This window comes from Homo sapiens, chromosome 13 (genome assembly GCF_000001405.40).
Source record: "Homo sapiens chromosome 13, GRCh38.p14 Primary Assembly".
Classification (NCBI taxonomy): Eukaryota; Metazoa; Chordata; class Mammalia; order Primates; family Hominidae; genus Homo; species Homo sapiens.
The window spans coordinates 28,273,867-28,288,814 of record NC_000013.11 but is presented as its reverse complement, the minus strand read 5'-3'; the positions used below and the strand labels follow the sequence as shown (position 1 = coordinate 28,288,814).

Below are 14,948 nucleotides of genomic sequence, written 5' to 3'. Positions count from 1 at the left end.
TGATTTGATAACACCCAACATAACTCACAATGATTCGGAAGGGGTTCAATTTTTAAAAAATAAACACAAAATTATTTTTTTGCTTTTTACCATTCACTGTTTTAAGCGGCATAACAAAACCACATGTAAATAAAACATTGCATAAAGGAGGGAAGCAGTCATTTTGTGATACTTTATCATAATAAAAAGATCCACAATAAAACATTCTAAAATTATTCATGAAGGCCAGGCGCAGTGGCTCACGCCTATAATCCTACCACTTTGGGAGGCTGAGGCAGGCGAATCACTTGAAGTGAGGAGTTCGAGACCAGCCTGGCCAACATGGTGAAACCTTGTCGCTACTAAAGATTAGCTGCGCATGGTGATGGGTGCCTGTAATCCTAGCTACTCGGGAGGCTCAGGCAGGAGAATCACTTGAACCCGGGAGGCAGAGGTTGCAGTGAGCCAAAATCAGGCCACTGCACTCCAGCCTGGGCAACAGAGCAAGACTCTGTCCTCCACTGCCCCAAAAAATTATTCATGCAAGTATTGTAAAAATCCTCCCATTGTAGAAAATGTTATTAATAAAACGTCTTACAGGCTACTTTAAGAGTACATCCTGATTTCTTAAGTTTCCTAGTATTTGTAGAAGATACAACTCTATACAAATTATAGGCAGAATTATGATCTTAAAAAATCTAGATACAAATTACCTTGTTAAGACAAGAAATTATATGACTGAGGTCAATCCAGGGAGCACCTGCTTCTGTCACCTGATGAAAAAGATGATCCCTAAAGAGTTTCAACAGATAACGGTCTCCAGTCTCTGACCAAGTGGGATCCTTCTGAAACCTGGGGGAAATGAACATTTTACCTCAGTAACTCATGCTGTATGGTCTGTGGCCATATGTCTATTTTTTAGACTCCAAACTAGTTTTACTTTTTCCCAATAAACAAAAAATTGGGAGGGAGTCTGGTACAGTGTTTTTAAAAAATAATCTAACTGAACTAGTAAGTCTATGAATTCCAGTTTTCAGTTAGCAAATGTCAGGGGGAAATCATCCCTTATGCATTCCTATTTTACATTACCTCCTTATTTCAGCCCCTACCATTAGATAAAATGGAAAAGGTAAAAATATCTTTAAATATCTTCTCTTCTCTTCCTCCCACTCTGTAGGTTACAGAATAGAGAAAGGTCAGGTACATCTTCTACTTCACCAATAAGCATAAAATAGAAAAATGTTTAGGAAACAAAAAGGAAGTAAATATCGGTTTCCTACCATTCCATGTGAAAACAAGCTGTGAAGAACCAGATGACCACTGTGAGTTTTCAGTGACCTTAGGAACTTACAGTCTAGTAGGAAACAGACGTTATTCAAATAATCAAAGAAAGCTGTAACTGCATATTTACATAATGCTCCTAAAAGGAATATGATATAAAACGAAGATGAATTTATCTAGGGCCGCGCCTGGCTGATAATCCCTTTTCTGTATCATTTAAAGTCGTTCTGCTTCCCAGATCAAACTGTGATACAATTCCCATTAAGAAAAAATAGGTAAAAACAATGATTACAGAAAATGTATAACATTAAATTTATGTAAAATTATGTGTGAATATAAGTATATAAAGCAATTAAGGAAGGTTTTCCAGAGGAAGTAGTGGCTGCTCTTCCCAGAAGAAGGATGCTCCTTCGTCAGAGATCGGTATTTGCATGGACATTGAAGAAACTTAAGGAAGGTCATGTGTCTGAATGGGTTGGGGGAGAAAAGAGAAGAAAAGACGACAGAATACACGGAGAGGGAGGGTAAGGGCAAGGAAAAGGAACAGAGTGAAGACAAGAACAAAGAATGGGGGATGGGGGGAAGAAAATTAAATAAAAGGCAGATTTGACGCCAGGATGAGAAGTAGGTAGGGATCAGACTACACAGCTTAGGACATGTTTTAAAACTGGGTCTTTATTCTAAGAACCAGAGGAGAAGTTCACCATATGGTTTTAGCACAATCATATATGTATGTTTGCAAAGGTCACTCCAAGGACTTCCAATTAAAATGAAGATTAAACACCCATTTATCTCTGCTCCCTTTCAACAGCCCATCAAATTGACAGTAAATACCTAAAAAAGGGTATAAACACAAGGACAAAGGGATCAGAAAAAGCAACAATAGTGAACAAGAGATAATCATGAACATCTGGAATGCAGAGGCAGATAGGTAAGTGGGATGACTTAGTAGACCTGACAAAACTGAACCCTAATTCTACAAGGGATGTGGGAAGAGGGTGCCCACAGGAATCAAGCAACCCACACTGGCGTAGCTCAGAAACTGAAGCCACAAAGGACTACTAAAAGTGCAAGTTTGGACTGAGGCTGAAAACAGGAGAACTGAGAAAAGGTTCTATAAACAGCAAACAGATAACCCATCTCTCAACCCCACTGCCACCTGTCTGGCAAAAATCTGGAGGTTTTACTTTCTAAAAAGGGTGAAAGAGAGAAGCTTGAGCCTCAGGGATGCCAAGCAAACCAGAAGATGAAGAGCTGAGGAGTGCTGGATGACACCCTATTCAACAAATGCTTTCCCTCTGTGTGGTTCCCAAACCCTGGCTGTCAGGCTTATACCACAGACAGTAGAGGTTGGAAGATTCTTTTCAGGGGATGCTGACCTGTCCAAGACAAATGATAATCCTTGACAGTCTATCAAAAACAAACAAAAATCATGTATAACAACATCACACTGCTTTATCACAGAGAAAGGTTCAACATTCTATAATCCCTGCCCTCACAAAGGCTTCCCATTGGCTTTTTAGGACCTTATTTTTAATACAAATGGACAGCTAAGTATCAGAAATCTTTTGTTACAAAACAAAACAAAATAAAGCAAACTCTTGTTTCCTATGAGATACTGCAGGGAATGGAACAAAACTTAAAACTAAGACAAACAAAAACCAACCACCAGCAAAAATCTATTAACTGACGGCCTCAGAGAAACAAGAATTAGATGGTACAAGACAAACATTCAGAAAACAGAATTGTTCTTGGAAAATAAAAATATGATAGCAGAAATTTAAAAATTCAAAGAATTAGAAAAAAAACTTTAATTTTAGAAAAATGCAGTTGAGATAACTGCCCAGAAAGTAGAACAAAAAAAATTAGAGATAGAAAATAGAAGAGAATATTTGAAAATCAATTGCAAAGGTCTAACATCTGAGCGATGAGAATTCCAGGACAAGAAGTTATTAAAGAAACAATGAAGACCATGTCCCAGAACTGAAGGACGTTAAGTTTCCAAGATTAAAGGGGTTCACCTGTTAATCCATCATTATGACTCAAAACCTACACCAAGGAACATCACTGTGAATTTCTGAACATCAGTGACTAAACAAACAAACAAACAAACAAACAAAACCCAAAAGCTTGGAGGAAGGAAAGGATTTATAAAGAAAATGCCTTTGAATCTGCCTGGAAGTTAAAAGGAACAATGCTTCAAATTCTGAACTATCATCACTAGTACTTACCTATGTACTGAAAGTACCCGCTAACACAACCACTCAAGAGAAATTAAAAGTATAGAAACTGGGAAGGAAACTATCATTATTTGCAGATAACACCTGGGAAACTCAAAGAGAATTTACTGAAAACGACCCAAACAATAAGGTACCAGAGCATAAAATTTAAAGAAATCAAGAATTCTCATATATACCAGTAACAAGAAGACAGAATGGGGGAAATTTTCCCACTTATAATAGCAACAAGATGAAATACCTAAGAATACACTCAGTATTGCTATAACTATATAAAGAACAACTTAAATACTACTGAAGAATACAAAAGTAGACATCAACAAATAGAATGACATACCATGATCTTGGTTACGATGACTCAACATCTAAAATCACAAATGTTCCCAGAGTTTAAACACGATAAATATGCTATCTTCCCTATGAAGAAACCATCAGGTTTATTGATTTTTTTTTAACTAAAGAAGCTGATTCTAGAATTTGTACAGAAAATTTAATAGTATTAGGAAAACAACAAAGTGGTGCCCAATGAAATGGAGATGGGAAAGAATACTGCTAGATTTCAAAATTCAATTTCATGATTGAATTAAAATAGTATGGAAGAGGTGTGGCTTCAAAAACCAGTGGGGAAAAGCTAGATTGTTCGACTATTCAATAAACAGCTTTTGGACTACTAGGTAGTCTTGGGGACAAGGGGAGATGGACTTACACCTTACACCCTATACAATTTCTAACCACATAAAACATTTTTAATATGAAGAAATGAAACCACAAATGTTCTGGAAAAAACCATGAAATAGTTCCTTCATAATCTTGGAGTAGAAAGAGGCTTTCTAACTATGATTCAAAATCCAGAAGCAAAGAAGAAATTTGGTCAGTTACAGACATATACAAATGTCTCCAAGGGTGGGGAATGAGCAGTCAAAAAAAAAAAAAAAATCACAAAAAGAGTGAATCTCTTTAGCTCTTATATATCAATAAGAAAGACAAGCAATCCAATTGAAAATAAAAATGGGCAAAGGATATGAATTGAACAGGACATAAGAATGGATCAATAGCATAAAACAGACCCTCAAACATGCTTGTTAAGAGTACATAGAACATAAAACTGCATTTAAATTCAATTTTTCACCTACAAGGTTGACAAAAATCTAAGAGTTTGAAAAAAGTATTTTGGTGAGGCAGTCTCACGAATTACACACATGGGTAAACTATTCTCCAATAGCTATGAAATTATAGTGGCACACCTACTGACCTAGCAATCACAATTGGCCTATATTTACATATATATAAGATTAAGTATGCACAAGTTAGTCCCTACAGTACCGCCCACCCTAGCAAAGGACTGAAAACAGCCCAAATGCCCACCTATAGGGAACTGGGGAATAAACTATAACACATCCATAGGATAAACTACTACCAGGCCATTAAAGTATGAGGAGACACATAGCATAGTGGTTAGGAGCACACACTCTGGAACCATACTGTCTAGACTGGAGTCCTGGATCATATACTTATTAATTACGCAACCTTTGTTCAAGTTATTTAACCTCTCTATGCTGCAATTACTCTGTTAAATAGGAATAACAATGGTAACTCCATCATAGGGTTGTTATGAGGAATAAGTCAGGTCATATTTGTAAACTATTTTGAATAGTGCTTGGCATATACTAAACATATCTAAATAGAAAGATTTCTAAAACACGCTGTTATGATAAAATATACTGTGTATGGTTTACAATTTTTATATATTTAAAGGGGGAGGGGATAAGAATATATAGTTGTATTTGTAACTCTGGAATAATACAGAAGAAACTAAAAATATAGACTGATGGGGGAAACTGGGAATAGATATTGGGGATGTCAGGTATGAAAGAGAGACTTTTACAGTTTTCACTGCAAACTTTTCCTACTTTTTACTTTATTCATAGACAACCTATTTAAAAAATTTAATTAATAAGAATAATTTCCTGGCTGGGCACAGTGACTCATGCCTGTAATCCTAGCACTTTGGAAGGCTGAGGCAGGTGGATCACCTGAGGTCAGGAGTTCGAGACCAGCTTGGACAACATGGTGAAACCCTGTCTCTACCAAAAATACAAAAATTAGCTGGGCATGGTGGCATGCGCCTGTAATCCCAGCTACACTGGAAGCTGAGGCAGGAGAATCGCTTGATCCTGGGAGGCGAGGGTTGCAGAGAGCCAAGAATGCGCCATTGCACTCCAGCCTGGGGGATAGAGCGAGATTCCCTCTCAAAAAAAAAAAGGAAAAATTTTCTGAGGACAATCTAGAATTTAGTATGCATTCACAGTATCAATAATGTGTGAAAGTAGAATAATGCCATTTTCAAACTTGCAAGACTAAAAAAACTCACCTTTTTCAGGAAGCTACAAGGACATGCTCCATTAAGTCAAAATAAATAAATAAATAAATAAATAAACAAACCAAGGAATAAAGCAAGAAAACAGGGTATCCAACACAGAGAGATAATGAGAATTCCCAGATAATACTGAAGGGAAGTTCCAGTTCTAAAGTGTAAGCACGTGCAGGCTTAAAGCATAACCAGCCCAGATAGGAACAGGAAGTGCAGAGGATCCAGAGCCAATTCTCTAGGTGGGAGGGAAAAAAAGGAACTGATAGGTTACCTATTTTTGACCGCATGGGAGAGGTGTTTTGTAACACTAAATACAGATTCAACTCATGTGTGCATGTGTGTGTGCACGTGCGTGCACGTGTGTAGGGAAGAGGATGAGTCATTAGCTGAATTATATATTGGGGGAATCAAGAATAGAACTATAAGCAGACATTTTAAAGTAAAGAGATAAATGCTAGAAGAAACAGCTAAAAGTTTATTAAAAATGGTTTAACATATATTGTTATGTTCTCTTCACTTAGAAAAATTATTAGGGAAGACACTAAATGAGTCTTTCGACTTTGAAGAAAAGCAAGTGGACTTGAATTCCATGGTAAAAAAAAAAAACAACCCCTCAAGTAATAGTATTTATCTCTCACCTATCTCTATTAACAAATCAAACATTCCTGAAATGTAACTTACGTATATAGTCATAGTAATTGCAAATTCTGTTCTACCTGTCTTTGACAGTTATGTAGTACAAACATCGACTCTGCTTATGTATATATGGTTAACATTAACTTACAAATGAGGTGGAACTAAGTGACAAATAGTGTAAAAGGTAATGCCTTTCCAATGTCACTTATATGATGGCTATAAAAAGTATACTTTAGGCCAGGCGTGGTGGCTCATGCCTGTAATCCCAGCACTTTGGGAGGCCAAGGCAGGTGGATCACCTGAAGTCAGGAGTTCAAGACCAGACCACCCTGGCCAACATGGTGAAACCCTATCTCCACTAAAAATACAAAAATTAGCTGGGTATGGTGGTGCACACCTGTAGTCCCAGCTACTTGGGAGGCTGAAGCAGGAGAATCGCTTGAACCTGGGAGGCAGAGGTTGCAGTCAGCCGAGATTGTGCCACTGCACTCCAGCCTGGCGACAGAGGGAGACTCCGTCTCAAGAAAAAAAAAAAAAAAAAAAAGTGTGCTTTAATAGAAGGTAAGAGGCATGCAAAAATTAGAGATTTCTCAAGTCTCTAAACTGACCAGGGTAAACTTACATGAAACTTCTTCCTCAAAAAGAAGATAGGGTAGAGGTAGTATTAGTCATAAAATGTGCCCTCATGTGCAAACCACAAGAGATTTCTAACACACCATATTTTCTGTGTGTATACATGTGTGTAAAATTCGTAAGGACAGCCACACCTAGGCTGTTGTTAAAAATAGCACCTTAACAGCTAACACAATCTTAAGGTCACTTCACATGAGAATTTTTCTCTTTTTCCAAATAAAGCCAGGCATACTTATTCTTATTATGCAAAATAGTGCTCTCGATTAAAAATATATTGTAAAATACTGTAAATCCTTACTCCGGCCTCTCATTGATTGTTCCCAATTTTGCTAGGAGCCTAAACAGTCTTCCATTTTGAACCTCCTATAAAACATTTTAAAAAGAGAAAAATGTTAATGTTCCAGATAACTGAACATAAAAGCCAAAATTTACAAAAACTGGTAACCTGTACCAATATTACCTTTAAACAATAAATCCTAACATCCCCACCTTTTGGTTATACTTTTAAACAAACACAATATGTCCATTTCATTTCATAATGGTACTCAAGAAGATTATGGAGCTGTCCATAGGAATTGGAAAAGTAACTCACATGAAAAACCAAGATTTTTGTCACATGACTGTAGCAAAGCCATGAATGAAAAGAACAGTGTTGTCCAGAGGACATAAGAAATTAAAATACCAAACATTCAGTGCCGACAAAAATATCTGAAATCTTAGCAAATAAGGCATTATATTTAGTACAATGATTATTTTGTGTCTATTTATATACACAGATGCAAGTTGTGTGTACATTCTTTTAATTACACTCTTTACTGGCCAGGTGCAATGGCTCACGCCTGTAATCCCAGCACTTTGGGAGGCTGAGGCGGGCGGATCACTTGAGCTCAGGAGCTCAAGACCAGCCTGGCCAACATGGTGAAACCCCGTCTCTACTAACAATACAAAAATAGCGGGGTGTGGTGGCGTACACCTGTAATCCCAGCTACTTGGGAGGCTGAGGCAGGAGACTCGCTTGAACCCAGGAGGCAGAGGTTACAGTAAGCCGAGATAGCACCACTGCACTCCAGCCTGGGTGACAAAGCAAGACTCTGTCTCAAAAAAAAAAAAAAAAAAAAAAAATTTACACTCTTTACCTTTGCAAGGTCTTCCTCTATGACATCATTTCTCATTTGAGCAGCATCCAATTGAGTATAAAATCGAGCACCAATCATGGGCATGATGTCATTTACACTTCGCATCCTGTTTTGGTCAGTCAACAAATACCTACCCAAGATAAAAGAGGAATTACTTGGATGTCCAACATGCAATTTAAAAAACAAGATAACCCAAACATAGCTGTTTTGGCTGCCGTCATCTTAGCACACAAAATTTTGAAAACATTTTAATTCATGCAAGTCAAGTTCATTCTTAAATATTACATTTCATTCCTCTGGAAAACTGTAACAGCCAATGGAGAAACAGTAAACATGTCTCTTCTCTACATTTTCACTACTATGGAAATGAGAAAGAAAAGTGAAGTAGGACTGCACTTACCCATTTCCATTCTCAAACCCTTCTTTACAATAGTGCTAGATGAAAAGATTGTTACAGGCCAGGTGCAGTGGTTCACACTTGTAATCCCAGCACTTTGGGAGGCCGAGGCAGGTGGATCACTTTAAGACCAGCCTGGCCAACACGGTGAAACCCCGTCTCTACTAAAAATACAAAATTAGCTGGGCATGGTGGCGGGCACCTGTAGTCCCAGCTACTCAGGAGGCTGAGGCAGGAGAATAGCTTGAACCCAGGAGACAGAGGCTGCAGTGAGCTGAGATGGCACCACTGCACTCCAGCCTGGGCAACAAAGTGAAACTCCATCTCAAAAAAAAGGAAACAAACAAAAAACAAAAATAAATTAATAGAAAGAATTTTTTTTTTTGGTGACAGAGTCTCGTTCTATTGCCAGGCTGGAGTGCAGTGGCGTGATCTCGGCTCACTGCAACCTCTGCCTCCTGGGTTCAAGCAATTCTCCTGCCTTAGCCTCGTGAATAACTGGGACTACAGGCGTGCGCCACCAAGCCCAGATAATTTTTTTCTATTTTTAATAGAGACAGGGTTTCACCATGTTGGCCAGGATGGTCTCAATCTCTTGACCTTGTGATCCACCTGCCTTGGCCTCCCAAAGCACTGGGATTACAGGTGTGAGCCACTGCACCCGGCCAAAAAAGAAAAGGTTTTTAGAAACTTTTTTGAGAGGACTAAAAGGGGGTAGGTGTGGGGTGGGGAGCTTTTCCTGTTGTTTTGCAAAGATTAATTTTCAGAACTAAAACTGGGTTTTCAATTTTGCTAAACTGAATGAGCCTTTTTAAGAAGCTGTCCTCTGCTCTAAAACTTAATTTACAAGGTATCATGACATATTCATTTCTGAGAAATGCAGTAACACGCAGCAGAAGGAACCAGTTAAATTTCTTCTATCATTAGAACAGTGGCAGAAAATACTACACATTTCAAGGGCTACCTGTTAGAACACAAAGATTCTCAATCATCTACTGCCGCTTATTCTATACGTAAAGCCATTCTCTGCCCTTTCTCATGAAAGCAGCCTCCTACTCACTCCTTCACTCTTCTGCTTGTAATTCTCTTATTTTCTTCATAGGTCTTATCACTACCTGAAAATATCTCACTGGTTTTTATGTTTATTTACTCTTTCTTCCCATTAGGGTGTAAGCTCCAGAAGATGGGAATTTTGTTCACCTCATTCAAAGTATCCTGCATTTGGCATATAGTAGTCATCATTTTTGTGGATAAATGAATAGCTATACCCATGTGAATAAACTATATCTTAGCAATTCATCCGTAAGTATGGACATATGTGTACCCTGCTAATCATATTTAATGTTATTACAGGCTATGTGACTTTGGCAAGTTATTTTATCTCTGTGGCTCAGTTTTGTAACTCTAAAATGGGACTAATAATGGTATCTAATTTATAGAGTTATTGGGAGAATTAAAAAAATTAATTCACATCAAGCAGTTTGAAAGGGCCCGATACATGGTTTAATTACTCCATAAACTTTAGTTTGTGTTTATTATTAAAGTATGGCTTTTTTGTTTATTCATTTTTTTAATAAAGAAAATTTCAAACATTTATAATAGAATAGTAATATAATGAATCCCCATGTATCATCACCCAGTTTCAATAATTATTAACATATGGCTGATTATTTTTGTCCTCTATCCCCACTTTTTTAAAAAGGAAAATTTAGAGATTATAACCTGAAATTATTTGAGGCATCCTAGGTATTTGCAAACTAAGGCTAGGAATCACTGTTGTGATCATATATAAAACAAGTATTTTTATTCAGAAGATAAATCATCTTATTTGAATTTGATTATGAATAGGATCCAGACAACCACTGGCTTCTAGTGCTGTCACAAGTAGGACATTTATGCCAGTGTAACAAAGAACAGGTGGGCAATCCCACCCTCCATCCCCCAATTCATACCCCAGGGCTGGTCCAAAAAGAAACTGGATCATCCAGGGCTACACAGAAAGATCAGAATGGGCAGCTGTAAGCTAAAAGAGACTGTTGATTAGCACCTCTTCTCTAATATAGCTCATAACTGTAATAAAGGTCGTGGTTGCCCACCCTCTGGGATCTCCCAATAGTAGCTATATCTTACGGAGAAGTCCTTCTGTTGTGACAGTAGTCCACACAATGGGTTTCTCTTAAGCCAAATTCATCTCAAATCGATACTCAAGGATTCTCTGGAGCGTTAAGATACTGGAGTGTAAGCATGGGGGTCTCCACACAAATGCTTTCCAGAATGGGTATTTTGGCCAGAGTACATGACTGGATTGCACCTGAGGCTTACTCATGATGGCTTTCACACTCTCTAGAGCAGCACTATCCAACAGAACTCCAAGATGAGGGAAATATTCTATGTCTGTGCTGTCCAATTATATTAGCCAGTAATTACATGTGGCTGCTGAGCTCTTGAAATGTGACTAGTGTAATTGAAGAAGTAAGCTTTAAATTTCAATTAATATCAATGTAAAAGGTCACATGTAGCTAGTGGATACCAACAAACTTCTACTGGGTGCCCTTTAACCAAATGTTTAAAACATCAATAACTAATTTAAACACACTGGTTTATCAATTTATCTAAGAAATATTTACTTTGCAATAAAAATAAAGACATAAAGTTTCTGTTTTGCTTGATTTTAAATAGTGGGAACCAAAACAATCACTTAAAACAAAAAAAGCTCTGTCTTATCGCAAATAATCATTCTGTACAATTTATCATATATTAAAACTTACAAAATCAGATTCTTCAGGTCAGAGGAATAGTTGATTGTCACCAGTTCCATGGCTTTCTGTAAATTCTCTCGCTGAATTCCTGCCAAAGAGTTGCAAGCCAAAGCCAACACAACTTTTCCTAATGATATCAGATCTGCTTGCTGACATGAAAGAATAAATATAACTTTTAATTTTCATTTCACAGGTACTCATTTAATACACTGACACTACTGCCTAAATGGAAAAAGCATCATTATAAATAAGCTGCAGGCAGGGTCCTCAAATACTGGTGATTCTCAGAATAACCTGGAGCTTATTAAAAAGACGACTTCGAGCCTCTCTACCAGAGATTCTCATTGGGTGGGTCCAGAAAATGGCTCAACATTTTTAAAGCACCCAGGTAATTCTGATGAAGGTAGTTCTAGGTCCACGCCTTAAGAGACTTTAAGCAATTCCCATGCCAACTACAAATTGCCACTTTTAAAAAGTTTTTCTAATTTTTTCTTATTTAAATAGAGGTAATATTCTTCTCTATTACAACAAATTTAAGGTTACTATACATTTGCTTTGCTATGACCACTATAACTTAACATACATACTTTGCTCATTTTCTGTAACTCCCAGAATATAGTGGGAATGTGAAGGATTATCTGAAGAAAAGTTATCCTATTACAAACATTAGCATTAACCAGATTTTAGAGCAAATTCTCTAGAACATCAAAAATGCTGCAAACCTCAATGAATGACATCCCATCTATCTTTGTTTCCAAATAGACTATTTTTCCTCACACTCTAACAGATCTTTGAGCTCTGGAACCACCACCTGCTTTCCTAAAACCTCTCCCACTCAAGATTTACCATTCTGAGGCTTTCCTTCTAAAAGGATTTTCAAAAGACAGCTGGCTGAATTAAGTCCTTTATCACCTATTATAACTCCAGGAAACAGTATGGTCATCCCAAGTGGCCCTGATTGGTAGGAAGCTATTAACAACCACATGCCTTCAAGAATGGAGTACTTCAGAGTTAACATGAAACCACCTGAAGCAATTTCTACAACAGACATTTGCAGATCTTTAAAATCTGAGAACTCATCTAAATTATTAGACACACGTTCATTTACTGAACATTCGTTTATTATAAGGAATTTTCAAGCATAGCTGTATATTACCATCACTTGAGAAGCTTAAAAACAAAACCAAAATCAGCAGTAGCCATCCCCTCGTCCCAATTTTGGTATAATTAGTCTGGGATAAAAATCTAGGTATTGGTATTTTTCTAAGCTTCCACAAATGATGGTAATATGCAGCCAGGATTGAGAACCACTGGTTTGTTGGAATATTTGTAACTTTAAGGCAATCATTAGTGAAATTCTAGCATTATATGGTTATACTTAACAACAGCCTACCCAAATAATGAGTAAAAAGACGTTAAACTCCATTACTAAAATAACATTTAAAAGTTCATACTAAAAAATTTATCCAAAACTAGCATTTGTGAATCTGACACTGAACATGAGATAAGGAGACAGACTGATTAGGTAGACAAACTACTTTGAATCTATTAGAAAAGATTCAAAGATTCATCCCAGAAAACTTTTAAAACTTCACTGGTGATAGAGTCAGGAGCCCAGAATGGCAGGAGGGAAGCTGGCATGGGAAGGAGAACTATTACTGTTGCCATCATTTCTGTTTGCTGGAGGACACTGTGATGAACTCCAAAAAGAATTCCTCTCAATCACACTTTAGATCAAGTAAAACATTCCAAGTTATATTCATGAAATTACAGAAATCTCAGCCAAAAGAAATCAGTGCATATAAATGCCAACTATAAATTTCTATGGGCGATTCAATCCAAAGTATCCAGCAAAGCATACCAAAGATTGTTGTTATTTATCACGTGTTTGAGCAGCAGGTACCAACACACAGTCTTCCAACTCTTCAAGCAGCAGAATTTTCAGTTTGGTTCCACCCTGAACTGATGCTGTATTAAGCCTCCCTCCCAGAATATTCCATTATTCTCTATTATGAGACAGAAAACCAAAATGGTCCAAGAGAGCTGAAGAACCAGATGGGTTTAAAAAATAACATCTGATTTTTAGTACATCCCATCACCTCTCTAAAGCGGACTCAAGGTAAGAACATCCACTTTTTGAAATAAAGTACATGTATGACACAGTCCAGATTAAATTAGAGTTGTTTTTTTAAACAAAAGAAGTTAATAAAATCTTAAGAGAGTTTCACACCGTAAAACCCAGTAACTCTCCTTTCCTTATTTCTCAGCTAAATAATTTTCCATTTGTTATTTTGCTTCTTACCTCCATCTGGTTTCCCCCCATTTGTTGAATTCAGGAGATTTGCCCCCCAACTGATTTTCAGTTTCTTCCTGATTCTTGACTTCTTGATTTCTTTTTCTGATTCTATCTATGGCTCTACTTATGTCCATTTTACTCAAAGTCAGTCTCTATTCACGTGTCTGAAACAAACTATGAAAAATAGACTACAAGAAACAATGCACTCCTCATGTATCCTCTTCTCTGTAAAATCACACTCCCCCTTTGGGACTATCTTTAATTCTTTCCTATACCTTACTATAATAAGCAATATAAAAAATCAGCTACACATATATACCCAAAAAAAGAAAGCCTGATATATATCCTTTAATGCTGAAAAAAATAAACAGGTGATAATTAATTGAAGGTTGCCTGATTTTATGAATGAAGGCATATCCTGACTTACAAATATTAATAAGGTGCCCTAAATGCTTAAAGTTGGTTGTCTGAACTCAGGGATTTTTTTCTTATGAAAAGTTTTGTTTTTCAAGGTAACTACACGACTCATAACATACTTGAAAAGGAACCCTACTGAGAAAAGAATGAGGAGCGTGTGCAGTTTTTTTTTTTTTTAATGCAGACACGGGTTTCTAGATACTTACATTAGAAGATGATGGTACTGGCTCTAAAAATGTGTAATTTTCCTTCAAAAATTTAATATTATCTGCTTGGATGTATATCCAAGTGTATATATTCACTAATATTTTAACAGTCAATAATCTGTCACTTTTGGAAGCATAAAGGTCATAAAGAAAAATTAATCGGAGCCAACTACCTAGGCACTAAGTATAAGAGAGAAGATAAGAATGAAAGTAGCTAAGAAACAATGTCTCCAGATAAGAAAGAGGGGGCAAATGCCCTCAGGCAGAAGAACAGAATGATGCTGCTGGGGGAAAAACAGAACTAATCATATTCCTCCCTGTGTTGCCCACTAGATGTTGCTATCAACCAGAACAGCTTGGCTGCTGCTGAGGTTAGGTGGGCACAAGCAGAGGGAAAGAAGGGTGTGAAACGTCTGCAAACAACTGAATGCAATGAGTGCCTGCAAGTCTTTGGGACTGTATTCTCTGTGGTTTACGAGCAAAACAGATTTATGCATGAACTGAAATACTAAACACTGATTAGACTCTACTTCTCATTTTATCCTTTTTGTTCTCTTTTTGTTCTGAAATTCTATCAGTGAACTAAAATCTTCTTCCAAA

At 37.1% G+C, this 14,948-nt stretch overlaps 1 protein-coding gene and 1 long non-coding RNA gene across 15 annotated transcripts in view; one reads left to right on the top strand and one right to left on the bottom strand.

The window, feature by feature from the left end:
- The window catches only part of PAN3 (poly(A) specific ribonuclease subunit PAN3), a 157,143-nt gene that overhangs the window by 6,521 nt on the left and 135,674 nt on the right, over positions 1-14,948 (bottom strand). For 8 of the 14 annotated variants that reach the window (XM_011535034.4, NM_175854.8, XM_005266332.4 and 5 more), the window contains 4 exons: positions 11,439-11,578; positions 8,274-8,403; positions 7,436-7,500; positions 693-831 (listed from right to left, as the gene is read on the bottom strand). In XM_011535034.4, coding sequence (XP_011533336.1) covers positions 693-831; positions 7,436-7,500; positions 8,274-8,403; positions 11,439-11,578 — 474 coding nt within the window. Of the gene's footprint in view, positions 1-692; positions 832-7,435; positions 7,501-8,273; positions 8,404-10,622; positions 10,694-11,434; positions 13,436-14,948 lie in introns of those variants that run through there. The other 6 variants (XM_011535032.4, XM_047430250.1, XM_011535033.3 and 3 more) reach the window with 5 other exon arrangements.
- Positions 828-9,969, top strand: LOC124903140 (uncharacterized). Its single transcript, XR_007063735.1, has 2 exons — positions 828-6,460; positions 9,837-9,969. It is a non-coding gene; the product is annotated as an uncharacterized LOC124903140 (long non-coding RNA).